Source organism: Homo sapiens, chromosome 6 (assembly GCF_000001405.40).
Source record: "Homo sapiens chromosome 6, GRCh38.p14 Primary Assembly".
NCBI lineage: Eukaryota > Metazoa > Chordata > Mammalia > Primates > Hominidae > Homo > Homo sapiens.
This window is the reverse complement of record NC_000006.12, coordinates 13,002,404-13,029,932: the sequence shown is the minus strand read 5'-3', so window position 1 is coordinate 13,029,932 and position 27,529 is coordinate 13,002,404. Positions and strand designations below refer to the sequence as shown.

Below are 27,529 nucleotides of genomic sequence, written 5' to 3'. Positions count from 1 at the left end.
CTGGGGTCTGTGCCTGTTCTGTCTGTCACACTTGAGAGTCCACCAGGGGTGCACAAATCTGACCTTCAGTTCAAATCTGACCTGCTGCCTCTCCTTATAAATAAAGTTTTACTGGAACACAGCCATTCTTATTTACATATGCACTGCTTCTCACTGCATTTGCACTAGAACAGCAGAGTAGAGTCATTGCAACAGAGACCGTATGGTGAAAGCCTAAAATATTTACTATCTGACCCTTTACAGACAAAGTTTGCCAACACCTGTTGAAACTCTTCAATAATATGTAATGTCAACTCAACACTGTACTCCTAGCTACGTAGCTTCATTTCATGTCAGTATGCTCCTCCATCTATTTTTGTAGCCATCTTGAGAGCTAGTAATTACCTTCTCTTTGTATTTTGCCTGCTGAATGATGGCAGTACTATATGAGTGAAGCCCATTAAATTCTGCCGTCACTAGCCATGCCAAGCCCCACTCCTCCACACCTGTACTATAGCTTGCTCAGCCCCACATCATCTCAGCCCACTTCCAATCAATTCCCCATCCCTTCTGCACGGCTGATGCTGCGAGATGAATCCAATATGCCCTTTTCACCAAACCACTCCTCTGCTGAAGACTCTGCCGTTACTTTATGCAGGGCATCCCCTGAAGTCCAGACATTTCTGTCTACAATTTAACATTCTTTAATCTTACCTGATGTTCTTTCAAATTCATATCATTTTAATACAGTCTTGTAATTAAAAGAAACCTGGTTTCAAACTCTAACCCCAACACTTACTACCAGTGAGACTCAGGCATACTATCTAGTTCAACTGAGCCTCATTTTCCTTTTCTACCAAATTGAGATAAATAGTATCTATCCCGGGAAGATTAGATTAATTCTCATAATTGGCACATAATAAGTGAATAAGCAATGTTATTACTGCTAATATCCAAAAAGCCAGTACACCTACTCTTCCTTCCTTCCCTCTGCCAGTGTTCATGTTATTCCCCCCACTTAGCATTTCTCCCTTCCTCAATCTACTAATCCAAACCAGCCTCTTCATACAAAGCCTCCTCCTAGACACTAGTCCACACTGAACTCTTGCTTTGGTGAACTCACTCGTGGTCAGCAGTACCCACCTTGCTCCTTATTCAGTGGCTCTCAACTCAGGAGCAATCTTGTCTCCAAGGTGACATTTGGCAAGGTCTAGAGATACTTATGGTTGCCACAAATGGGAGGTGGGTGCTACTGGCATCTAGTGGGTAGAGTCCAGGCATGCTGCTAAACATCCTACAATGTACAGGACGCACCTGACACTCCCCAATAGTAAAGAATTATCCAGCATAAAATGTCAACAGTCCTCAGCCTGAAAAACGCTGACCCGAAATATTCCAGGCATTGCAATCACAAGGTCTCCAGAAGCATCAACCCTGCCCTATCATTCTGTCATACTGCCTGCTATGGAAAAGAGGAAGCTCCTGATTCCTGGATTGATTGAAGCAAAAGTATGATTGATATAATAATTTAATTTGCATTTATATCTCTGTTAACTAAAAATCACTGAATAAGTATGTCCAGCAACAGTGGAAACATTTCTTCTCAATTACTATGCTATAGTTTCAAGCTAATAGCTTCTGGTAGAAAAGAACAAATCACAAAGGAATCTCAGTGTGTGTTTCTTTATCTCTCACAAGTGGGAATGTAGTCAGTCAATACAGTACTTTCTATTGGAAGATTCTAACGCAGCACATTAATTTTCCTCTAGGACATTAGTCACCTGTGGCACTCTGCAAAACAAACAAACAAACAAAAAACAAGACATATGTGTGATAAAATGCATGTGGGTAAAGAAGCATCTATACCCTGTTCTTAGAGATTACCAATGCACATTTTCACACCAGGGGCTCTGAGACAAAAACATTTGCTTAACTTTGTTCCGCTCAGTTTTCCACCCTAGTGTGATCCATATATCAGGCCAGGCGCGTTGGCTCACACCTGTAATCCCAGCACTTTGGGAGGCCTAGACGGGTGGATCACCTGAGGTCAGGAGTTCGAGACCAGCCTGGCCAACATGGTGAAACCCCGTTTCTATTAAAAATACAAAAAATTAGCTGGGTGTGGTGGCGCATGCCTGTAATCCCAGGTGCTTGGGAGACTGAGGAAGGAGAATCGTTTGAACCCAGGAGGCAGAGGTTGCAGGGAGCCTAGATTGCACCACTGCACTCCAGCCTGGGTGGCAGAGTGAGACTCTGTCTCAAAAAAAAAATTCCACATATTATTGTTACCATCCTGTGCAGCAAGTGTTAGGTGGAACACATTTTGGAAAACATCTCATTGAAGTTGGCAAAAACCTCAACATTGAACCATAGAACTTGAATTATAGTTTCTCACAGTGTAATCAGAGCTGCTCTGGGACACTAAATAGCAAAGAAGCACAACATAGCCCCCTTAACTTGAGAAGTGTTGGTAGGAAGAGCACAGCTTCTGCTGGTTTCTGTTGCAGTAACATGGACCCGAGGACTAGCCAGACCACACTTCCCGTTGGCATAAAAGACAAATGAAGGAACTTGTCTTTTCTGCCTTATCACCTTGGACTGGATACAACAGTACTGACCTCAATATATTTAAACACTAGGCAGAAAATTATTATTTTCTCACAAGCAATAAGGCTAATTTAAACTTTTGCAGGACAAAGAAAGAAAAAACCCCAACAAATAGTGACTCTGAATATCCTTAAGCAAGCAAAGTAAGAGAGCATTTGCAAGAGACCAAAGGAGCAGGTACTCGGTACCCGGTACCCTCTTTCTCCCCACCCACTTCCCAACCAGTCCCTAATCCTCTCTAATCCCTTATATCCCTAAGTCATAGACCCAGCTGTTCATTTTTAAAATTCTGTGATACCTATGGATTTAGCTGTATTGCAGAGGACTGAATTCTGAAAAGGATCTGTACTTCCTAGAAACCTCAGCCCAACCACCTTTGCTTAAGACATGCAGACTTGTTATTATTTTTTTTATTTTTTATTTTTATTTTTATTTTTTTGACAGGGGACTGGCCATCAGCAAGGTACTCTGGTGTCTAGAGCAGCCTTCAGGACATTGATCTTTAGAGCTGGCCATTACTCTGTGACCTGCACAGTCTGAAGAGGTTTGGCTGGGCACGGGGTGAGGACATGCACACCCAGAAGCAATGTAGCAGCAACAACGCTGCCATCTGTTCCTCTAGCTCTAGGGCTCCCTCTGCGCTTTCACCTTGAGATGAAAGGGCTATCATCCTCCCACCCTGTGAATCACACATACATGCCTGTTTGGTCCTCCATTCTCCCACCCACCACCACCATGAACAGAGAGGAGAAGACGGGAAGAAAAGAGAAATCCGTCTCCTTCCTCCCTCTCTACAAGCCAGCACTATGGATATAAAAGCACAAGACTCCCTGTGTTTTTTGTTTGTGAAAAGTCTCCAGATACCTCCTACATATTTTCAAGACCCTCTGGAAAAAAAGCTTGACCCTCCTATACCTGGGCCCCGTTTGCAAGAAGGAAAACAGAGAATTTTAAAATATCACAGAATTTTAAAACACAGGGAGACTGAATGACCTGTCCGAGCCCAGTTGGTTTGGAGGCTACTGGAACTGAAACTTAAGAGCCTGATTCCCAGGGGCGCTCTGTTTTCCTAACCCTCTCCAGAGGCTGCTAATTCCTTCTCTCTGGTAAACACTGCCAGGAATTGCACTCTTAGATTTCTGCAATAAAAATAAGCCATACTTGCTTTCTAAAATCATGGTGGAAATTCTCCCAGTTAAATCTGACTGCGATTTAGGCTATGATATTTTCAAAGCAAATTTGTACCATTTTATTATGGCTAATTATGTATTTGGAGTTAGCAATGCACGCTGACCCATCTGTCATAATTATGGCTTAAAAGCAAAATGTCATTCCTGTCTGGTCCTCAACTCTTGTTTATAAAACCAGGGGTGCATTTTGGAACCATCAACAATGTTAAGAGGAGAGCACAGGGACTATACAACTGTTCCAACTTCATTCTGAGCAGTTGCTTTTTTTAAAGAGGTGATTATTCACGTTGGCATGAGATTAAACATTCTTCTGGAAATAATTTGAATCTAAAAATGTTATATTCCTACCAATTTCTATATGATGTAATGTAATTCTTTAGCCAATACATACATGTTTCCAAAACTAACTCTGCCCTAGGACATTCCATACACACCCATACACACAGACACACACACACACACACACACACACACACACACACACAAATAATATATGACTTATCTGGTTATGCCTGACTTACATCACAGGTTATTCTATTAGATGTCGTCTTCCTAGAATTAAATTTGGGGTATAATGTCCACTATTATGAGGTGATACTTATATTCTAGAGATGCAAGTGCCACCCTACAATACAGTGTATCTCATCTAAATGGAGGACAGCAGGGAACAACTTTTAAACTATAGTTCTGAAAAATTCCAGGACTCTGCGGCACTATGTCAGGGGAGGCCTGCCCATCTGGCCTAAACCAGAGCAATCTCCCTTTTATCTGGTTTGTATATGGGCGTCTTCCAAGATGCTTGTTAAGTTTTCTTTTTCCAAAGAATAACTCTTCTATTATATGTTTCTTTACTTTTTATTTCTTGACTATAGATACTCTTTTTTGCTTTTTGTTTTGTTTTTGAGACGGAGTGTTGCTCTGTCACCCAGGCTAGAGTGTAGTGGCACAATCTTGGCTCACTGCAGCCTCAACCTCCCCAGCTCAAGCAATCCTCCTACCTCAGCCTCCCAAGCAGCTGGGACTATAGGCACGCACCACCATGCCCGGCTAATTTTTGTATTTTTGTAGTGATGGTGTCTCACTATGTTGCCCAGGCTGGTCTTGAACTCCTGGGCTCAAGCAGTCTACCAGCTTGGGCCTGGCCTGATACTCCTTTTTGTATAAGTTCTCCTTCTTTTGCCCTCTAGAAAAACTAAAAAAATTAACCTAGGCATGCAGCCCAATGACTACTACACTTTTCAGGTATTCCAAGCCATTTCTAGTGTCTTACCACAGGAATCTGCATTGATATTCACAGATTCAACCTCAAAGACCTGGGACAAGGATGGGAGGGGTCCAGTAGCCCATCATTTCTACTCCCACGGCAAAGGGCATTTTCAGCTGCAGATATTAAAGCCTCTTCTTTTGTATTGAGTTTTACTTTGGGTAGTGGTGTTCCGACCACAGGCTGCTTAATAGTGCATGAATAATTCATATCATGACTAGTAGAAAACAGCCACATACTATTTGTTCTGGATATGAGCACATTAAGGCTTTGGGCAGGCAAAAAAGGTTCACTGTATCATTTTGAGGATGATGAGCTCCTGTCTGGTGGCCTGTTTGACTTTTCAGGGGGATGGTAAAGGGATGCATAAATCAGTGAGTTACTGAAATTTGCAGACGTGATTCTTGAAAATGTAGCAGATCAGCAATGTCCCTGCAGCCAAGATCTGCTTCTCTACACATCCTCTCATCATGTGGATTAGGTCAGCTCATCAGACCGGTGACAGTTTCCAAACATAAGTAAACACAATCTATAGTTTCCACTGGATATGTCAAACAAACAGTTGCCCATAAACAGACTTCAAGTCTTCCAAGAAAGAACCTAATTCTGGTAGATGTCCAGCCTGTCAGAGAGGGATGGTCCCTAATTGTGCAGCAGATTTCAGCCTTCAAGTTGTGCGAGGACATACTGGTGCCAAATCTTACTGAGAACACCTTCAGAATCAGCAACATCTCCCTATAATGCATCTCTCAATAATTCAAACTAATATGCAACTGAGTCTGGTAGGCTGTTATTCCCGTTTTTTTTTTTTTCTTTGAGACAGAGTCTCACTCTGTCACCCAGGCTGGAGTGCAGTGGCTCGATCTCAGCTCACTCCAACCTCTGCCTCCGGGATTCAAGTGATTCTCCAGCCTCAGCCTCCCAAGTAGCTGGAATTATAGGCAAGTGCCACCATGCCCGGCTAATTTTTGTATTTTTAGTAGAGACAGGGTTTTGCCATCCTGGCCAGGCTGGTCTCGAACTCCTGGCCTCAAGTAATCTGCCTGCTTCGGCCTCTCAAAGTGCTGGGATTACAGGCATGAGCCATTGTGCCCGACCCCATTTTTTTCTTTTACTTTCCATGGCCAGAAGAATTCCATTCACTTTTGCTTTCCCCTTCTGTTACTTGTTCCGCACTCTTTCTGCTCATAGACAGGGAGCAGTGCTACTGTTTCAAGGAGACTGCATCAAAAGAAGATGGTGCTTCACTACAGGTTGCTATTGTACTTGAAATAACCTCAGAACCGAGGTAAGGGGACAAGGGAAGCAGAATGTCACAGTCCTAAAAATGAGAACGAAAGAACGGGAACTTTTTCCCCCCAAGAGCCTCTGCTGAGGTTACAGCTTGTTTAGAAGAAAATTGTTTGATTTTATAATTACTTTTGTGGGTTGCAAAATAATTACCGTGGAGGCAAATCTCCATGTGCCAAAATAGCAGAGGCAATTGTTCTAAAGTTCACATTGAAACAATAACAGAGTCAAGATGATTAACTCTTAGGTGGGGATTAGAAAAGTCATCCCTCTTTGTAACATGTGCCAGCCTGAAGCCCACATAAAGGTCAGGGTGGGAGTGGGAACACTAAAGATACTCCACAAACTGAATTCAGATCAGTTATTTCTTTGTAGGCTGATTTTCATTTTAAACCTGTGCCTCTGAGTATCCCACAACATCAAATAGCTTTTGAAAAGACCAACACTGCAATTCAGGTGAACGACACAGATATGTAATTGGACACTGGATAATCTACAGGGTCATTTTCAATTCTAAAATCAGACTATGATGCTAAAATGGTCAGGAGTGGTACTTTATTTTTATTATTATTATTATTATTATTTTGAGACAGGATCTCCCTCTATGGCCCAGCCTGGAGTGCAGTGGTGTGATCTCAGCTCACTGCAACTTTTGCCTCCTGGGCTCAGGTGATCCTCCCACCTCAGTCACCCAAGTAGCTGGGATTCCAGGCATGCACCACCACACCTGGCTAATTTTAGTACTTTTTGTAGAGACGGGGTTTCGCCATGTTGCCCAGGCTGGTCTCGAATTCCTGGGCTCAAGCGATCCACCCATCTCAGCCTCCCAAGGTGCTGGATTACAGGTGTGAGCCACCGCACCCAGACAGGAGAGATACTTTCTATTTACAGCAACTTTGATGTCACCAGGAGTTGGCAAAGTTTTTTTTTTTTTTTAAGGCCAGAGAATAAATATCTTAAGCTTCGAGAGTCTCTGTGACAACTTAGTCTCTGTGACAACTTAAGTCTGCAGTTGTAACTTGAAAGGTGCCATAGACAGTGTGCAAGCAATTGTGCATGGTTGTTTCCCAATAAGCCTGTATTTACAGACACTAAAATCTGAATTTCGTATAAGTATCTTGTGTCATGAATTATTCTCCTTCTTTTGATTTTTCTCCAGCCATTTAAAATAGCAAACAACATTCTCAACCTACAAACATAGGCAGAGGGCCCATGGGCCATAGTTTACTAACCCCTGATCTAGATAGGTTTTAGGCACCTCCAGCAGAATGGAAGTAAATTCATTTTACAGGTGGAAGAAACTTAAAAGCAGGTAGAGGCGTCGGAGGTCCCCTCGGCCTCCTCATTCTAACCAAACACCCTCTTCATCAGATAATTTCCACTTCAACTTTTCAATGAATTGACGGTTTGCTTTGGGTGTTCATCTTTGCCCAAATTTCCCTGAATGATCATATTCACATTTAATTAATTGCTTTAAGAAGTTAAACTTAATTGGCCAAAATAAACAGTCACTCCTCAGAGGTTCAGTAAAGTGTGAATCTCCAGGCAGCTGAAAGTGGCTTGATTGCCCGAAGGTGGGAGCCAGAACCGGACAGACAGCTCAGCTGCAGCAGCATGGGCAGGTGACATTTAGGAAGCCATGAGCTACTCTGACTCTCTGACCCTCTTCTCTTAAATGGTCACAAGAGTAATTCCAGCTGTAAAAGGTTGTTCTGATGACCACAAGGAAATAAGATACACAAGCTATAAAGTGTAATATAAATACATTTATGTAAGGTGTCTAAAATCACTAGTTTTCTTAAGTGGACTGAGTTAACTCTTTTTCTTGACCACCAACTCAGTCAGTTAGAACCTTCTGACTTTCTTTCTTAAAAGTCCTGCAGGGTGGCTATCATCCATAACAGATAATAACAAATGTCAGAAAAATTGCAGAGAAACTGAACTTTTATATACTATTCATTGCTGGGGGGATGTAAAATGGGGCAGCCAGTTTGGAAAAGAGTCTGGCAGACCCTCAAATGGTTAAACATGGAGTTACAATGCAATCTAGCAATTCTACTCCCAGGTACATACATAAGAGAGATGAAAACCTGTGTCCATGCTAAAGCTCGCGCATGAATGTTTATAGTGGCATGTTCAGCAAAGCCAAAGAGTGGAAACAACCCAAATGTCTATCAACAGATGAATGGGTGAATACATGTGATATATCCATACAATGAAATATTACTCAGCCATAAAAAGCAATGAAATTCTGATACATGCTACAGCATGAATACATTTTGAAAACACTGTGCTAAGTGAAAGAAGCCATATATTGCATGGCTACCATATATAAGGTACCATATATTGCATGGTTCCATTTATGTGAAATGTCCAGAATAGGGAAACCTATAGATTAGTGGCTGCCTGGGATTTGGGGATGGGGTGTAGGGAATGGAATAATGAATGGATAGGTTAAGGGGAACAGAGTTGCTTTTTAGGTGTAAGGAAAATGTTCTAAAATTGATTGTGGTGATGGATGACAATTCTATGACTTAAACACTATTAAATTACATACCTTAAATTAGTGAACTCTGTGGTGCGTGAATTATATCTCAATAAAAATGCTTTTTAAAAAATCCTCCAGGAAATACTACAACCCGTCATGGAGCAAGTCCCAGCTCCTTAGTGTGGTATCCCAGGCCCTTGGTATGTGGCCTCTGTCCATCTCCCCAGGTGCCCTTCTCACCATCCCCCAGCCACATCACACCACTGTCCTTACAGCCACTGTAATAAAGGGACACACATTCATCGACTAGATCCATAATAAACGAACATGTACATTCATGTACTGAACATATCTTAAGTGGATAATACCTGTGCACCGTTCTCAGCACTAGAAACATAGCAGTCATGAGGAGATAGGACAGACCCTCGCTGGAAGAGCAGCATTCAATGCCCTCCTCTGGCCTCTTGACCTTTCTCTACCCTTGGTCTTTGTCCTGCTTCCAGTGACTCTTTCCTTCAGGTATCTGCCAGCCCAACCCTATTCATCCTACTCAATTCAGCCCAAGTACCATCTTGTCCTACATGACCTGCTGGCCTTCACCCCCAGGGAGGAGATGGGTTCCCCACCTACGTGTCCATGACATCCTGAGTCTGCCTGTCACAGCAACGTCCCTCGCTGGACTGTTTCTCTCAGAGCAGGAACTCATTCTTTACCTCTCTACTCACACGTAAGTTCACTGTAGGCATCAATGCTTGATACATGAATAAACAAATGACCATGTTCTATCCTTCCTCTGGACTTGGGTATAAAAATAATACAACACTAAAAACAATCATCATATAACTTCTCTTGAATGGTCTACTGCTAACCTTCTGGCTGATTTTTTCCCCTGGGCTGAAAATCTCTATAATTCACTTCTTCTTTTCCAAACCAACAACTGGATTCTTGTTTAGTTCCTGGTTCTATTGCAACTTTTGCCTCCTTGGACTTACCTTTTCTCCCTTACAGCCTGTGGGGTGAAGTAAGGTCTCCTGTGCCCCTCTCTCTGGCTACCTGGCCTTCAACAAACTCACCTTTATCTCTTGGCTTTCAGCTCAGCTGTCCCCCTGGCACAGGTAGCCTGTCCACCAGCAGTACCACATTGAACATCATCAATGGTGGCTCCTAACTGGCTCAATGGACTACCACCCTTCAGGCTTTTAGACACTTCTAGAAGGCCCCAAAGCCCAGTCAAGTCCAAAAAGTTCTCACCATTCATATATAAGTTAGTGAACCGAAGAAATTGAAGTTTAGGGCTAGGAAACAAGTACTGATCCTTTCACCCACCCCCATTAAAGTTTTATGGATATATTTTATCTATTACCTTTTTCAATGTGAGTGTTTTTATCTCCTTTAGACAAATGAGGATATTTCAAGCTATAGATTTCACAAATTGTTTAAATATGTCTTCTCCTAAACTAAGTGACTATTTACAGATGTCTGTAAAGTGTCAGAGCAATATTAGAACAAAAGGGGAAATTATTAGTAAAATTATATATGAGCTCAAAGTTATGTTAAAAATAAGGCAAGCTGACTTTGAATTGCTGGTGATTGAAAGTGTATTATTGGACATACTCTGAGCCTGAAACAGATATTGCAGAATCTTGGTCTTTTGGCTGTTCAAGGTCGTTAAACATCCTTTGTTGAGCTATGAGCAGCATGGAGCTGGGTCCTTGTCTTGTCTGGTCCTTGCCTAGGCACTAACAGCAACAGCATCGTAAAAACTCACTCAAATTTGCTTTAACATAATACAAGAGTAGGGGAATCTGAGTGATATGTCTATGGGAATTAATTATCCTATTATGTCTACTTTTGCATATGTGTACAATTTTTCATAATAAACTTTTTTTAAAGGGCATCTTGGGCCAGGCACTGCGGCTCACGCTTGTAATCCCAGCACTTTGGGAGGCTGAGGTGGGTGGACTGCTTGAGCCCAGGAGTTCAAGATCAGCCTGAGCAATGTGGGGGAAATCCTGTCTCTACAAAAAGAAAAAGAAAAAATATATATATATATATATATATTTCAACTGTAAAAGTTTAAAATATATGTATATATATACACAAATTAGCTAGATGTGACGGTACATGCCTATAGTCCCAGATACCAGGTGGGAGGATAGCCTGAACCATGATTTTGCCTCTGCACTCCAGCCTGGGCAACAGAGTGAGACCCTATCTCAAATAAATAAGTAAATAAATAAATAAACAAACAGATAGATGAGTTGGTCACATCGCCTCTGCTTAAAAACCCTGTGCCATCTTTGGTACTTGCAATCTGAATTCCTTTGGAAGTGGATGCAATCTGAACTGCTTCTGAAACTGAAAGAGGCTTTTCCTGACCTTCCTTCTCTTGCCCAAGGTGGAACCTACCACTCTGTCCTCAGTCTGACCCTTACCTTATTTGTCTTGTTAGAAATATATGTTTAAATATAGAGAAGAAGTGGGTGCTCTCATCTTGGACTCAATCCAAGGAAGTTTAATTACAGAAGAGGCAGAGCAGCACAGTATAGCAGGGGGAAAGGCCCAAGGCAAAACTGGACTTGGGGGGTAACAATACAAACGCTAGCAATCGCAGCTAATATTTCTCAAGCACTTTCTCTTGCAAGGCGCCATGCTAAATGCTTTGTACCAAATATCTCATTGAATCCCCACAACTAATATAGTAATATTCCCAAATCACCCAGCCAGCAAGCAGAGGAGACACTGAAAACAGGCAGTACGTTTCCAGAATTCAGCTGTGAACCCCAATTGAAAACTGCTTCCCTCTTCAAGGACAGGTTCTGTTAGCAGCCCTGACACCAAATGGTGGTTCGACCTCGGTAGACTGCTCACTTAATCCTTATGCATCTTCATTTTCTCACCTGCAAAATGAGGGATGTGATCCACAGGAACTCACAGGGCATTCTCTCCTAAAAGGCTGTCTCAATGGATGAACTCTACAGTCAGTACAGCAGAGAATTAGTATGACAAATTGTTATTCCTAAAGTTCACATTGGAATCCATTAGAAAATATGCTAAATGTTTCTAATCCCTAAAACAAAACTTGGGAAAACATCTAGCAAGTCCATGGATTAGTAAATTTCTATATAAATGTTTAAAAAATAGGAATCATATATAGTAAAATGAAGACAACTGTGATCTACTGATAAATTACATGTAAAAGGCACTGACAAGCAGTTGCAATCAATACGTCTTGTTTCTAAATCCATCATTTTATTACTTTTTAAGTGTCATTACAAAATAAGACTGAGAGGCTTCAAGATATTTTTAAAAACTGTTAAAATATTTTATTTCTATTGAAATTACATCTTAATACATAATTATTAAATATATTATAATTCCTAAAATTATTCTTCACTATTAATGGACTCAAAAGGAGTTCAAATGCACACAGAAATGTGTATGAAATTAAATACAGAAAATACTTCACTTTCTAGATTTTCTCTAAATTTGATTTTTAACTATTTGTAAATTAAATCATATGCTCCTATTAACTTTTAATATAAGTTCAGCGATGACTTAGCTGTGTTTCTTATGGCTTTATGACGTCCATAACTTCTAATCTACCTGGTTGTAAATTACTCTCCCTCTATCCCCACTAAAGTCAGCCTCTCTATCAAGTAGGTAAGGAGGGAAAAAACAATTAAATGCAGCAGAAAATTCTGCAATTCCTTCTCATTCTTTACCATAATAAACCGAGCTTATTGAGACTGCACATGTATACATCACACACACACACACAGATATAAACAGACACCACAATACCTAATGTTCCACATTCAGTGTAGGTGGCAGAGATAAATGGCCATTAAAAAAATCAACTTGATGGTAGGTACAGTGGAAAGTGTCTTGGTTGTTGTTGATGCATTTTTTTTTTTTTTTTTTTTTTTGAGACAGAGTCTCACTTCTTCACCCAGGCTGGAGTGCAATGGCGCAATCTTGGCTCACTGCAACCTCCACCTCCTGGGTTCAAGCAATTCTCCTGCCTCAGCCTCCCCAGTAGCTGGGATTACAGGTATGTGCCACCATGCTGGCTAATTTTTGTATTTTTAGTAGAGACAGGGTTTCATCCTGTGGGCCATGCTGGTCTCAAACTCTTGACCTCAAGTGATCCACAGGCTTTGGCCTCCCAAAGTGCTGGGATTACAGGCGTGAGCCACCGCGCCCAGCCGCATCTTGGTTTTAAAGTGAAACAGATGAGGGTGTGAGTCTTTGTTTTCCCCTGTATTTACTCTGTGGCTTTCCTATGTAAGCTTGTTTCCTCACCTGAAAATAGCTTTAGTATTGAACCAAAACAGCAAAGACGGAAGGAAACAAAAACTGTCTTTGGCCATTAATGGTGAATTGTGTTCTATGGTTTCTTAACAATACAGAATTACTTAAAATAAGTTTAGCAAAACATCTTTAATACTAGTTAGTAGATACCAGGAAAAAAAAAAAAAACTCTTGAGTAAAAAGATAATTGCTAAAATGTAATTTCACCTTTTATGTACCTCTCAATAACCAGACATATTTTATCCTTTAAAGTTTATTCTTTATAGATTGTCTTTAAACTGCAAGTTATTAAAATATGCTTTAAATAACTATTTCATATGCAAAGAAATTAAGTGTGAAAGAAACTCAGTGAACAATACCTTTGTAAAATTTCATCTGTGTAAAATTTCTAGAAGGGCTTTCAAGTTGTATCAGAATTTTCTGTGGGTGCCACCAAGTGGCCTCTTCGGTGATGAATGAGGAACCAGGCACACTTCTGGTACTGGACATAATACAGGTGTGCCTCACCTTAAGAAGCACCTTCCTCTATAGAGCCTGAACAAACAGGACATCGGGGAAATCTGTTTGGCTCATTATGATCTTGAGCATACAAATGTTTTAAAATAGCTGGTGCTCCTGGCATGTAGAAAATATGACTCAAATTGCAAATCGCTTCCAGAGAATTTATCTAAAAGAACATCCACTCCCTACAGACTATCATGGGAGGGCAATCTTGCCCAAAGTGAAATTTTATTGGAACTTCCACAGTGGGCAGTGCTGCTTTGGTTTCTGGCAGTAAAAGAAGAAGGGTTAAACTCCTGACCTCACTCCATTTTGGTGATTAAATGAGTGCACCACACAATAGATTGGCAGGATTAGCAGCATGAAATTAGGCAAAAATTAGGCACTATAACATTCGGTCTCCCCTATTTAAGAATCCTTTGAGGGTAAATAATCCTATCAGGTGATATGTGAGCATCCATACATAGCTTTTTGGAAGTGTGTGAGGCTGTGGAGATGACGCACGTTTCAAGAAGAACTGTGTGCTGTAGGTTAAAATACATACCTGTCTCCATTGACGGGGTATACCGCATTTACCAGTGACAGCACTCATAATGACATTTGTAAACACACATCCTTGAATATGGACATATACCTTTCCTCACTGCAGCAGCATTTACAGACACTAATTTAAATAAACTCCCAGTGTTGTGGAAGCAGCCCATCTGGGCAGCAATTCAGTCAAGAGAGCAACTGACATTTAATAACCATTTTAGCCTGCATCTCAAGCTCTGTTGCGTTACATGGGAAAGGTCTGGCTTTGGGTCATCTGATTAATCCATTTGTATTCCATAGGTCTCGATGTTATCAGCTGATGTAGTAACCAACACATGTCAGTCAGTGTGTGCTTCTCAGAAACGTATATCCCCCCTACACCTAATAGCAGGGGCGTTCATGTGTTTTGTGTGTGCGCCTTCCTCCAGTGCCGTCCCAGTTTTCCTCTTGGATGCCTGGTGGTGTCCTGCACAACCTCTCTTGCAGTTTAATCAAAGAAAACGATAATGACGCTAGCAGGACTCTAATTTTGAAAAGACATTAGCCAAGCCAGAGTCATTTCATTACTCTGCACTTCAGAGGCCGACTAAGAACGGGAGGGATCCTAAGTAATGTTTGTTCTTCCAAAAGGAACAGCAAAACCTGCCTAGCTGATAGGAAAATCTGCCTGCCCAAGCAGGTGTGCGTGTCAGGCATGGAGACGAGCTTCAGGTCGGCCGGTAGCTAAGGCTTTCAATGTAAAATCTGCTGCCTAAAACTTTTCCATGACCTCCAGCGGCCCTGCAGAGCCTGTTCGGTGAGCTGCTCGGGAACCGCCTGGAGGGTCGCGCAAATGCACAGCCACACAGGGGCGTCCACAGCTGCAGAGGCTTCTGCCTGGTCCGCGCCGGCGGTCCCTCGCTCTGGGCTCCTCCTGCCCAGAGTCGCTGGCAGCCCGGCACGCCTTCACTGCTCTACTTCAGATTAGACTGCGGGAGCTCTGGCTCGCACACGCCCAGGCTCACCTGGAAGATGCGGCTGCGCGCCCCCTCCCCCACCTCTCCACATTTTGGTCTTTGGGCATCATTCCAGCAGGGACCAGCAGCGGCACTCCAAAAATCACAGCCATGTTTTACTCTAAACAGGCGTCATTCAACAACTCCACAAGTCTCTAGGGCTCTGGGCGCCGCAGCCAAACCGCCTCTCCAAACTGATGCCACCCGAAGGAAGCCCATGTCCGTAACGCAGTCCAGCAAACCCTGTATCCCATCATAATAGGAGGACGGGGCAACAGTTAAGAAGCCCATGGAAGGAAAAAGCAGGAGTCAGCGCTTTTGCTACCGACAAATCCCCTAAGCCTCGGCTTCCCAAATGAAAATCCCAGACTTGCTCTTTTAACTGTTTCAAAACCCTCATTTTGGGGACCATATACGTCAATGGGATGTGCAGGGTTGCGAGCCCGGGTTGGGCTGTGGGTGGCACTCTGCAAAGTGCCCGGCGGGCGGCTGTCATGTCTGGGTGGAGTGCGGATGTCCCCGCAGTTTTCCAGGCGACAGACGCCGGCGGTGCCCCCAAACTGAGACAGCCCGAGCCACCTCCCCGCCTCCCGCGCTCGCCGCCGCCGCCCCGACGGGCCCCGGCACTCACCGTCCCGGGCGTCCTCCCCCCGACTGCAGTTGCTGCAAATGTGTTTGATCTCCTTGCCTAGTTGACAGTGGATCACAAAGGACACGTTGTTGTTGTTGTTGGGGGCGGGCTCCTTCAGGGGCTTCATCCTCAGCAAATAAAAAGCTTTCTTTTTGGGTTTCTCGGCGCTCGCGCCTGGCACCGCGCCCTCCCTGCAGCGCGGCGAACGGAGCGCAAACCTCCCCGGCTTCGCTGAGCGCGTGGGCTCCGCCATCCGGCCCCCGGGCGCCCGGGGCCGGGCGCTGCTCCGGCCCCCGCGCGCTGCCACTCGCGCCCCTCGGCCTCGCCAGCATGCCCCCGCCCCGCCCGCGCCGGCCGCTCTATATAAGCACCGCCGCGGCGGGGCGGGTCGGGGAGGGCGCCGAAAGGGTCTTGACCTCGCCGACCTCGCTGCCCCAGCCAATCCGGATCCCGAAGCCGGAGGAGGGGGTAGGCAGGGCGCTCCTGGGTCCTACCTGAGAAGCTCCACTCCCACCTCTCTCGGGGTCTCACGTGCACATCCTCCTCTGGCAGCCCCACCCCTCCGGAAATCTCAGCACCAGCTACTGAGAGCCTGCTGGGTTTGAAGCTACCTTCACTCTCAAGAGCTCCAGGGCGGAACGCCAACCCCCTCCCCCTTTTCTTCACGCCTAAAGCTGCCGAATGAAAGCAAAATGTTTCACACGGAAAGCGCTGCACTGGGAAACCTCGGGTGCAAGCTCCCCTCCAGGGCCACAGCAAATTACCCTCTCCGGCGGGTCCAACCCGTAGCCCTTGACTTTCACTGGAGCAGACAACCTGTTACAACATAATTGATGTTTTCACCTCCCATAGAAATTCTCCGACCCGAAGGAGATTGTTTAACGCCAGGGTCATTAAAAAGGAAAAGAAAACGCTGATTTTATCAAAACTCAGAAACAATTTGCGACTTTGGGATTGTCAGCTAATTTGGCCAAATAACTCTCCAGCTGTTTTAGCACAGTGACTAAGGCTTAGCAAAGCGAGTGACATCTACCAGGATTTCCAAAGGGAGAACAGGGTCTTTTCTTTAAAAAACAAAACAAAACAAAACAAAAAATTGTTTTTAGAGATGGGCTGTCACTCTATCGCTAGAGTGTTGTGGCACAATCACAATTCACTGCAGCCTCGAACTCCCGGGCCCAAGCGATCCTCCTGCCTCAGTTTCCTGAGTAGCTGGCATTGCAGGGAGAACAGTGCCTTTAACAAACCATGCAGAACAAATCAAAGCTCAATAACTTGTAATTATTATTCTTCAGCCATGGATTTGCCTTATTAAAATCATGCTATTTCTAATAAACCACCAATTCACACAACAATCCCAAGACTCAGATATCGCCAGTCCGATATCACCTTTTAGAGAACTAAGGCTTAGAGAAGCCCTATATCACAATCACCTTGTGTGCTTATTTTAAAAATAGAGATTACAGAGCCCCAAATCCAGATATTCTGGTTTAGTAGGTCAGTGCAGGGTCCAGGAGTCTGTACCTTTAACAAGCTCCCCAGGTGACTTCAATGCAAAGCATAAATGGAGAAACAGGTGTTTACAGCCAGGTGTACCTGCTCCCAAGCCTGTGTTCTTTCCACCCTACTGCATTCACTCTGAGTCACACCCTTGTCCTCTTTTCCAACCTACTGGAATAGTGTCAGTTAAAGAATGCACTGTCACTACCAGTTGTTTCTAGGAACTTCCTCAAAGCTAATTTCACAATTCCCTGTCACTGCCTCTTCCACAAAAGGCAGGTCTTTGCTAGTCTCTCCTCCAACTGGGCGAATTCTACACATACAGTTGCCTCACAGGTAACAAGGTCAACGATCCACTGAGGATATTAAATTACTGTATTACAACAGGCTTCTGATCACTCCAATTCTACCACTCTATCATTTCTACTACTTCTCATCTGCAAGTAGTCTGCACAAATCAGCACAATAAGAGCTTCATCTTCATTCTGGAGTTAGGAAAGTCAGGTGTCCAGCTGCCATCGCCTCCCCTAGAGGGGGATGGATGTAGAATGCAGGTCTCTGTAATTAGATCTCGATCCCTCTTGGTACCCATTGAGGGCTTCAGCAACCACCCCCCTTTTGCTGGACTACCAGCCAGGCCAACCACAGGTGAATCCACTATGTCTACTCATGTCAGATTCATGTCACCCGGTCCCTGGCTAATTATAAGCCTTATCTTAGAGATTACAAAGGACCTGTTTGTTATACTGGTTGAGTGCACCAGGGAATTTACTGCATTGTGTTCTGAGCAAACATTTGTTATTCTCTTTTGTAATTCCTTGGGTCCCTCCTCCAAACTATCACCCCTTAACTCCCTTCTGAAAAGAGGAGGTTGTGTATTTACCAGCAAATTACATGTTTCCGTAAATGTGTATTTTAAATTGCATGCCTTTTCCGCCTTACTCTCTGCCCCACAGGTTAGAACAGTGGACCTGCAGAAACCCCATCTGACCTCATTAAAGCAACTAAGACTGAAGCAATCTTTTATTTCCCTTGCAGAATACTAAAGGGCTCTGTATGTTTCTATCTTAATTGGCCAACGGGCATTGTGATTGTATCATACCAAACACTGACACAGCCACCAGCTTAGCCTCAAATATTAAAGGATGTGCCCTGGGCTGTAGGGGCCCTTTGTTCAAGTTAAGTGTATAAAAGGTATGAAGTTTACCTGGGAGAGTCATTTCTCTTGTTTGAGGATCCATCTTTCTGAACTGTCCTCCCTGAGTTTGCAGCCTCTAATGGTGCTATGCAATATAGTATCCACTAGCAACATGTGGCTGTTTACATTTAAATGAATTAAAATTCAATAAAATTCAAATTCATTTCCTCAGTTGCACTAACCACAATTCACATGCTCAGTGGCCGCATGTGGCTAGTGGCCACTGCATTGGGTAAGGCAGATTATAGAATATTTCCATCACCATTGAAAGTTGTATGAAACCATGCTGTTCTTAGCAGATGTGTGCATTTTAGTGTCTCAGACTAAATTCGAGAATCATTAGTTTAAGTTTCAGAAGCTAAGAAGTGCCATCTCTTATTGTTACAACAGAATGTGTGTGAAGAAGGGCCCAGGATGGAATATAGCTTAGTATGGGCAGCAGTTTGGAAGGTGGCCGAATCTGGCAGCTTCCAGCACTACCTCCTTGCCTCAGCAGGCAGCAGGGCTGATGTGCGCACTGTCCCGCATTTCCTCTTGACCCTGCTCTGTACCCTGAATGCTGCCTCAGTGAAGAATTACTACTGGTGTCCATTATTATCGTTTCCTTGTAGCTTTTTTTTTTTTAACCAAGTTGATCTAAATGAGGACGAGCTCCTGTGATCACGCTCAGTGTCACTTAGCTGTATGACAGTCTCCTTCCCATCCCTTATTTAGGATACACTTAACTTGCAGATCCCCTTCTGAAACTTGTTGGGTGCCCTAAGACCCCACTACGTAAAATATGACCCCAAGGACCAGCAGATCCCAGGTGCCTGAGAGCTTGTTAGAAATGCAGCACTTCAAGCTCTAGCCCGGAATCTGCATTTTAACAAGACCTCCGGGTGATTTGGATGCATATTGAGGTTTCAGATGCACACTCTAGAAATCAGCCTACCAGAGGAACACATATTTTCATTCCAAAGTAAGTCATGGATAGGACTCTTGATCTCATGGAACTTGAAACTTAATGGGAAGGGCTGGGTGTGATGGCTCACGCCTGTAATCCCAGCACTTTGGGGCACTGAGGCTGGTGGATCACCTGAGCTCAGGAGTTTGAGACCAGCCTGGCCAACATGGTGAAACCCTGTGTCTACTAAAAACACAAAAATTAGCTGGGTGTGGTGGCGCGAACCTGTAATCCCAGCTACTCGGGAGGTTGAGGCAGGAGAATCGCTTGAACCTGGGAGGCAGACATTGCAGTGAGCCGAGATCACGCCATTGCACTCCTGCCTGGGCAACAAGAGCAAAACACCGTCTCAAAAAAAAAATTAATAGGAAAGAGGGTGCACTCAATACAAGGACATATAAGAATAACAGAAGACAGCCAGCTGAAAACGTGTGGAAGTTTGTAACCAAGAGTAGCCACAGAGATCTATGCATTTAACATCAGGGGTGTGGGGTGGGGAGGGTCATGTGTAAAGGGAGTTCTGCAGTGATTATTGTGGAAGAGATGGCGTATATGCAGGAGGAGTCCCCTGAGAAAGTTGATCTGAAGCAGTAGGGGGCAGAGGGTGGTGGTGGTGGTGGTGGTGGTGGTGGTGGCAGTGTAGGGAGACTGCAAGCTCGCAGACTAGGAGTTCATGGGGTGGGGAGGTCAAGGATGGGCAGCCATTGGCCTGGCAGGACCTGTTACAGCCAGCAAATGGAGTTTTCCAGAAGATCCCACCATTAGGGTGATGTGAGGGCAACTGCAGACCTTGAAATCCCCCAAGGCTGAATGTGAGAAGCAGTGTGTGATCTCCTGTGAACTGAGGCTTTGTTCTGCTTTCTGCTTGCCTATGCTCCTCCCCATTTTGAATGCCCAGCTGTTATGAGACTTTAAAGAAACCTACAATCAAAATTAAGGGTAGAAATTTAAAAATGCTCACAAAAGTGCTTTAACTCTTACGGAGAAAGATACAGTAGAAATACAAAATATTAAGGTCAACACAGGGCAAAGCAATGGAAGTGTACTCAAATAGAAATTACTATACATATTTAATGTAAGAAAAGATTTTTATAAAAATCTTCTTTTCCTCACCCAGTATTTTTTCTTTGATTTGAACTCAAGCTATTCATTCAATTTCTACCCTGCTTCTATGTGTCCTTTCCTGTTCCTATCCACCCTGCAGTGGGTTGAATGGTGTCCGCCTCTCCCACCTGGAACATGTGAGTGTGACCTTATTTGGCAAAAGTGTCTTTGCAGGTTTAATTAAGTTAAGGATCTTGAGATGAGGAGATTATCCTAGATTCTCTGCGTGGGTTCTAAATCCAGTGAGAAGTGCTTTTTATAAAAGGCACACAGAGGAGAGACAGACAGAGGAGGAGAAGACAATGTGAAGATGGACTCGGAGATGGGAGTGACACTGCTGCCACAGGAATGCCAACAGTCACCAGAAGCTGGAGCAAGGGGAGGAACAGACTCTCCCCAAGAGCCTCTGGAGGGATCTTGGCCCACCTTGAACTTGAACTTCTGGTCTCCAGAACTGAGTGAGAGAATAAATATCTGTTGTTTTAAGCCGCTAACTTTGTGATAATTTGTTACACCATCCCTAGGAAACAATACACTCCCTAAACATCAACAATATGTGATATTCTTATTACAAGAATAGCATCTATTTTTTTCCAGGTTTGCTCTAAATGTGCAGTATGTTAAAACCAGAACTGCAAGCTCATCTACAAAGTGCAGATTAAGAACAAGGTTAAAAAGTACTTCTAAATGGTTCATGGACACAGAATGGTGCAGCGCTGCTGCTATGCGTGTGTGTGTGTTGTTGTTGTTGTTTTGGGGGTATTTTTTGGTTTGAGTTTTTTGTTTGTTTTTTGCAGATGCTAGACTGGAAGTATGGAGTGGAATGGAAGAGAAGACTGTGATTAAGAGGAGATATAGCTTCCAGGCTGTCTCATATTTGATATAATACATTTATATTTCGAGCAAGGAGATGTGATCAGAGCTTGCTGTGAATGGCTAGTGAAAATTCCTTAGGAAATTTAGGGGTATGTAAGTGGAGGTCATATTCAGGGCCTCAGCACTGGTCCAGCTGTATGAATTGTTTATGGCTGGCATCTATTCCAACAGATTGAATATTCTTTCTGACTCTTGCACGTCTAGTTATTAAATATTTTGAATGTCACTCCTGCATATGATTGACAAGCTTTGATTGCCCCGCAAGTGAGGCTTTTCCACCACAGTGTTTTTCTGCCAACTGTGTTTTGAAGCCTAAAGCGAAAGTTCCTTTGGCTTTAGCTTTTCCCTTATTATCTCTTGATCAAATCTGGCAGACTTTTGATATAAGCTCCAGGGACAAGTTTAGTTAGTGGACAAGGAGTTTACAGAAACAATTGCATAAAACAATCTAGTTGAAACATCTAAATGTGTGAGCAGTTTTTTGTGTGTTTTGTGGGGTTTTGTTTTTTATTTTTTATTTGTTTATTTTAGCTGAGGTTTGTTTCCCTGAAACTTTGAATGGAAAGTAGTTTTACTTCTAGGCTTGTGATAATTATGCTTACTAAGGGGATTGCTCTGTGAAAATTATTCTATGAACACTTAGCAGATAGCAACATGATGAGAAGGAAGATTGGAATCATTTTAGATAAAACAGGTGGAGAAAGAGGTGATTGAAGGAGAACTATCCAGAATATGATTCCTGTAGTTTTTTGATTGCAGCATTATTTCGGAAGACTGCTTTCTCTTCCACATTACCACTGATGAGAAGAGGGCTGGGGTAGTCTACCTCTTAAGTTCAAAAAAAAAAAAAAAAAAAAGGATCTCCAAAATAGGCCATGTTTTCAGAGTGAATATCATCGTTGTGGACATGACAGAAAGAAGATCTGGTCTGGTGGAAATTTTTCTGCAAAGTCTTGTAACATTAAGCATTTCTAAAGCCTGTATCGCTAATATCCAAGGAAGACTCTTATTCTAAGTTAAAAAAAATTTAGGATTAGGTATTGCTGCTCATGTCTGGGGATAAATAGGGGACAGATTAGGTAGAGGTTGAAAATTATCAGAGATTAGTGAGACTTCTAGTTGTTCCAAAGTATTCAGTTTCTTTACATTTTGCTCCAAACTATAAATCCCATTCTAAATGAGATTTATAGACTGATAAACATAGCCTTATGTTTTCTTCTTTTTGGCAGATTTAGACACTTCTAGATATTTGTCTTATAGAAATAAAAGTACCAGAACATAAAGGTGCTATTAAGTGTGTTTACATTACAATAAAATAAAATAAAGCAGCTGGGAAGTCAAGCAATAAAGGAATGACTGCATAAATTGTGGTATATTTATAGCATGATGCCACTAAAAAGAATGAGTCAGACCTAAATAAGAGGACCTGGAAGGATTTCCACAATATATTGTTAAATGAGAACATTAAAGTTCACAAAACTGACTAAAATATGATCTCATTTTTGTGAAACAAATATTGTAGACATTACTAGTGCCCTCCAAATATTTCTGACTTGCTGTCTTCAGGCACATGGTAGGATTGCAGTTGGCACAGCCAGAACCCTTTGTGAGTGGGGCCATTCTGACCTATAAAAGATAACTGAAGTTCAAGATAGCAGCTATGGCTTCCCTTTGGGTTCTGAAGTGACGCAGTGATGAGCTCAGCTTATCTAACGACCCACAGCAGTCCTGTACTATGAGACATGAACTTGTGTTGTGTCATGCTGCTGAAATTTGGGAGTTGTTTTCACTGCAACACGATCTAGCCTATCGAGACTAATAAAACAATGAGAAGTGTGTGTGTGTGTGTGTGTGTATCATATATCACCTTATTTAATATAAGTTGTGTATGTATCACCTTATTTAATATAAGTTGTGTATATATCACCTTATTTAATATAAGGTGTGTATGTATCACCTTATTTAAATATCATACTAACATCATAAGATAGAAGCAGTATTTCCATTTTTTGTACTTCACAAAACAGAAGATCGGTGAGATTAAATGAATTTCCCAGGTCACACAATTAGCATTTGGCCAAGTAGAACTCTGAGTCAAAATGAGTTTACAGCAAAGCTCACCTTACTGTCTCTAAACATTCCACTGACATTCAGAAAGCGGCTAGGTAGTTTTTCTTCAGAGGACCCTCAGCACTATTTTAGGATAGAGCATATGGCATCATAAAACACAACCAAGAAAGGTTATCGGACTACAGGCACAGGACACAGAAACCTTGGCTGCCATGCCGAGCATCGCTGCTGGTAGTAAATAGAACAGGGATAAAAATAGGATGCATAGGTTCTTATCTATCATCTGTATTGGCAGATCCTGCTCTTTTAATCTTTAAAACACACTGTAGTTGTGTACTGGCTGATGTGATCCTTTTAGGGCTGGGATTGTATCTACATTGTGGTGAGTCCCTCAGGGCCGTTTAACAAAAGCTCACCATCAGCTAATGATAATTGGCCTTTAGGACAGAATCCTAATTGTTTGCACTGAGCAGGTGCTGGAACAAGGTAATAGGATAATGTAACATTGGTGAGAAATAGAGAGTGGAGTGGCCCTTTTTCCAAGTGTGAGAACTTTAGTTACACATGCAACATAATTGTGGGGGGTGGGGTGGGGCAGGGAGTTGTAGGTAGTCAGCTCTGGGAAGATTTTAAGTGGATGTCACTGGTGTATTAAAGTGGGACATACAATTGATTTCTTCCATGGGAAATATGACGTCGAATTCACCGAGGAAAACAATGGAATATGCTCTAAGACTTGTGAAGTGAATGATCAAAGGAACACCTCTACTTCTAACAAGGCAGGTTGTATCTTGATTCCGGCACTCCAGGGTCCTGTGATCCCTGAGCTTCCAAACCAATTTTTACAGTACAGAAGCCATGCTGAAGAGAAAGGATATTTATATTTATACATTATATTTCAATAGAGCTTTTCCTCTGTGATTCATATTATATCCACACAAATTAATATAACAGTTTGTAGCCATTTTACATGTAAAAGCAATGTTGTCTGCAAGAATCAAAGGGTAAATCAAAAGCTAAGAGGAGTCTAAAGAGAGCTCATATAAAGGGAGCTTAAGGGTAGGACAGCAATATGTGAATGTTGTATGTATGTTGTATGGATGCATGTGGATATATATATAGAGACATATATACTGTATGTATAGAGACAGTATATGTATATACTCTATATACTCCATACTCCATAGAGAGATAGTCTAAGTTCAAGGTCAGCCTAGGCAACGGTGAGAACTTGTCTAAAAAAAAAAGAAAGAAAAAAGAGAGAGAGAGATTTTAAAAACCCATTCAGGTTCATAGCAATGAGTTTGCAGGGAAAGAAAGACCACTAGCAGGGAAGAAGGGGAAGGATGTAAAGGATGTATCATTTAGTGAGCTTCTGGTGTATCTGAGAAACTGCTGGGCTTTTTATTAATAAAAAATTTAAAGATATTCATTTGTAAAATATATTTAAAGAATAAGAAATATATTAAATATATATTACAAGCAAATGTTATATAGTATTGTATATTTTACATAGATTTTATATTTTTAACCACAAATTTTATCACTTAATGCTTACAATGGTTACAAGGTTTGAGGTGTTTCCCTTATAAGGAAAAAGCTGGTGAGAGGAAGTTGCACAAAGCTATATTGCACAGATGTGCCAAAGCCCAGATCTGAAGTGAACGCAGGCCAGACATATCCACTCTCCAACATATCATGCTGCCGTCCAGAACTTTGCACATAAGAAAGAGGCAAGGGGAGGGAGAGCATTAGGACAAATATCTAATGCATGTGGGGCTTAAAACCTAGATGAGAGGTTGATAGGTGCAGCAAACCACCATTGCACATGTATACCTATGTAACAAACCTGCATGTTCTGCACATGTATCCCATAACTTAAAGTAAAATTTAAACAAGAGGATATATTGACAAAGAACTAATATTCAGAATCTACAAAGAACTCAAATAACAATAACAACGACAAAATACAAATAAGCCCATTAAAAATTGGGCAAAGGACACAAACAGACATTTTGCAAAAGAAAACATACAAAGGGCCAACAAAGATATGAAAAATGCTCAACTTCACTAATCAGAGAAATGCTAACTAAAATCATAGTAAGATACCATCTCACACCAGTCAGAATGGCTATTATTAATATGAAAAAGTAAAAAAATTAACAGATTGTTGGTGAGGATGCAGAGAAAAGGGAGTACTTATACCCTGTTGATGGGAATGTAAATTAATACAACCTCTATGGAAAACAGATGGAGTTGTCTTAAGGAACTAAAAATAGATCTACCATTCAATCCAGCAATCCTACTACTGAGTGTATACACAAAGGAAAATAAATCATTATATTAAAAAGATACCTGCACCCATATGTTTATTACAGCACTATTCACAATAGCAAAGATATGGAATCAACCTAAATGTTCATCAACAGATGACTGGATAAAGAAAATGTGATATATATATATGTGTATATATATATATACATATATATATATAGGAATACTACTGAGCCATAAAAAAAGAATGAAATCATGTCTTTTGCAGCAACCTGGATGGAACCACAGGCCATTCTCTTAAGTGAAACAACTCAGAGACAGAAAGTCAAATACCACATGTTCTCACTTATAAGTAGGAGCTCAACAGTGGGTACCCGTGGACATGGACATAGAGAGTGGAATGATAGACACTAGAGACTCAGAAGGGTGGGAGGATGTGGGAGTGAGAAATGAGAAGTTATTTAGTGGGTACTATGTACTCTTAGGGTGATGGCTACACTCAAAGGCCAGGCTTCACCTCTCCATAATATATCCATGTAATAAAAAATGACACTTATACTTCCTAAATCTATTAAAAAATTTTTTAAAAGAAGCAGTAATGAAGGCAAAAATATCTTTCCAATGCACTCTAGAAAAAAAAATTCCTGGAAGACTTCCTAAAGATGAAGGATCTATCTATCCATCTATCTATTTACACTGGAAGTAAATCTATCTTTTCAATTTATAGATTATTTTTAAAGTACTGAAACAAATACTCTATCTCAAATCTTGTAATTTATTTTTAAAAGTATTTTAAAACATGCTATTTTTCTTGGCAGTCAGCAGGTGAAAAAACAGAATTATTAAATTTTGACAAAAAGAATCAATCCTTAGAGAAAGTCTGAGTTATGATAAAAAATGAATGAAACATTCTGACTCTATAGATAATAAATCAACATATATTTATATTTTACCAAGTCTAATGCACAGAAATAGTTTAAAGGAATCTTGCAAAAATTTTAACTATGTGAAGTCCTTCTTCCAGTTTCTCTTTTTTAAGTCCCCTTTCTCTTTCTTTTCCCAAATTGGCAATATATCAGGGAGACCTGAACTCTCAGGTTAAAATCCTCTGATTTCATGAAGATAAACCTTCAAATCTGTCCATTTCTTAAAGGCAAAGAAGCCCTATCATTTCCACTTAACTAAATCCTAATCTCAAATTTACCTTAAAAATGAAACACACTTGTTTTGCATGCAAGGTAAATATATAGACACTGCTCCATTACCTAAACCTGATGTTCAAAAGTTTAAGTTCTCAGACATACTTCAGGGCATTAATGCATGTGACTTACCGGCATAACTCCTCAAGCTTTTCTGTTAATACATTCATGAGCCCATAGAGGGCATATTATCATATTTGCATATTCAGATTAGCTAATTTTTCTTAAATGGTGCATATTAAGACAACTGGGAACTGTTTAGAACACTTTATACACAGTTTGGGAACAATTACCCATCATTACATTCATTTAGAGTTGACTCTCGAGGCAGGCATTGGTACAGCCAAGTTTGGTTTTTGACAGTTGCACATGATCAACCAATAGATCACACTGCTTCGATCTTATGTATATTTTCCAACAGAGAAAGAGTTTGGCCTTTTCCTCATGGTGCTTTTAAGCCTGAGGAAATATAAGCCTGAGGGTAATATAGAAGACACATGATAATCATAGGAAATGCTTTCTCCTAAAATTTTTCCTACGTTTTGTTAACAAATAAATAATGAGAGAGA

The 27,529-nt window shown here is 41.8% G+C and overlaps 1 protein-coding gene across 20 annotated transcripts in view; it reads right to left on the bottom strand.

Annotated features, from left to right (window-relative positions):
• The window catches only part of PHACTR1 (phosphatase and actin regulator 1), a 571,071-nt gene that overhangs the window by 257,905 nt on the left and 285,637 nt on the right, over window positions 1-27,529 (bottom strand). For 3 of the 20 annotated variants that reach the window (NM_001322314.4, XM_017010464.3, XM_017010458.3), the window contains exon 1: window positions 15,794-16,379. The exons of 16 other annotated variants lie outside the window; for them this stretch is intronic. In NM_001322314.4, coding sequence (NP_001309243.1) covers window positions 15,794-16,046 — 253 coding nt within the window. In that variant the 5' untranslated portion in view covers window positions 16,047-16,379. Of the gene's footprint in view, window positions 1-15,793; window positions 16,380-27,529 lie in introns of those variants that run through there. One more of the 20 variants, XM_047418375.1, reaches the window with a different exon arrangement.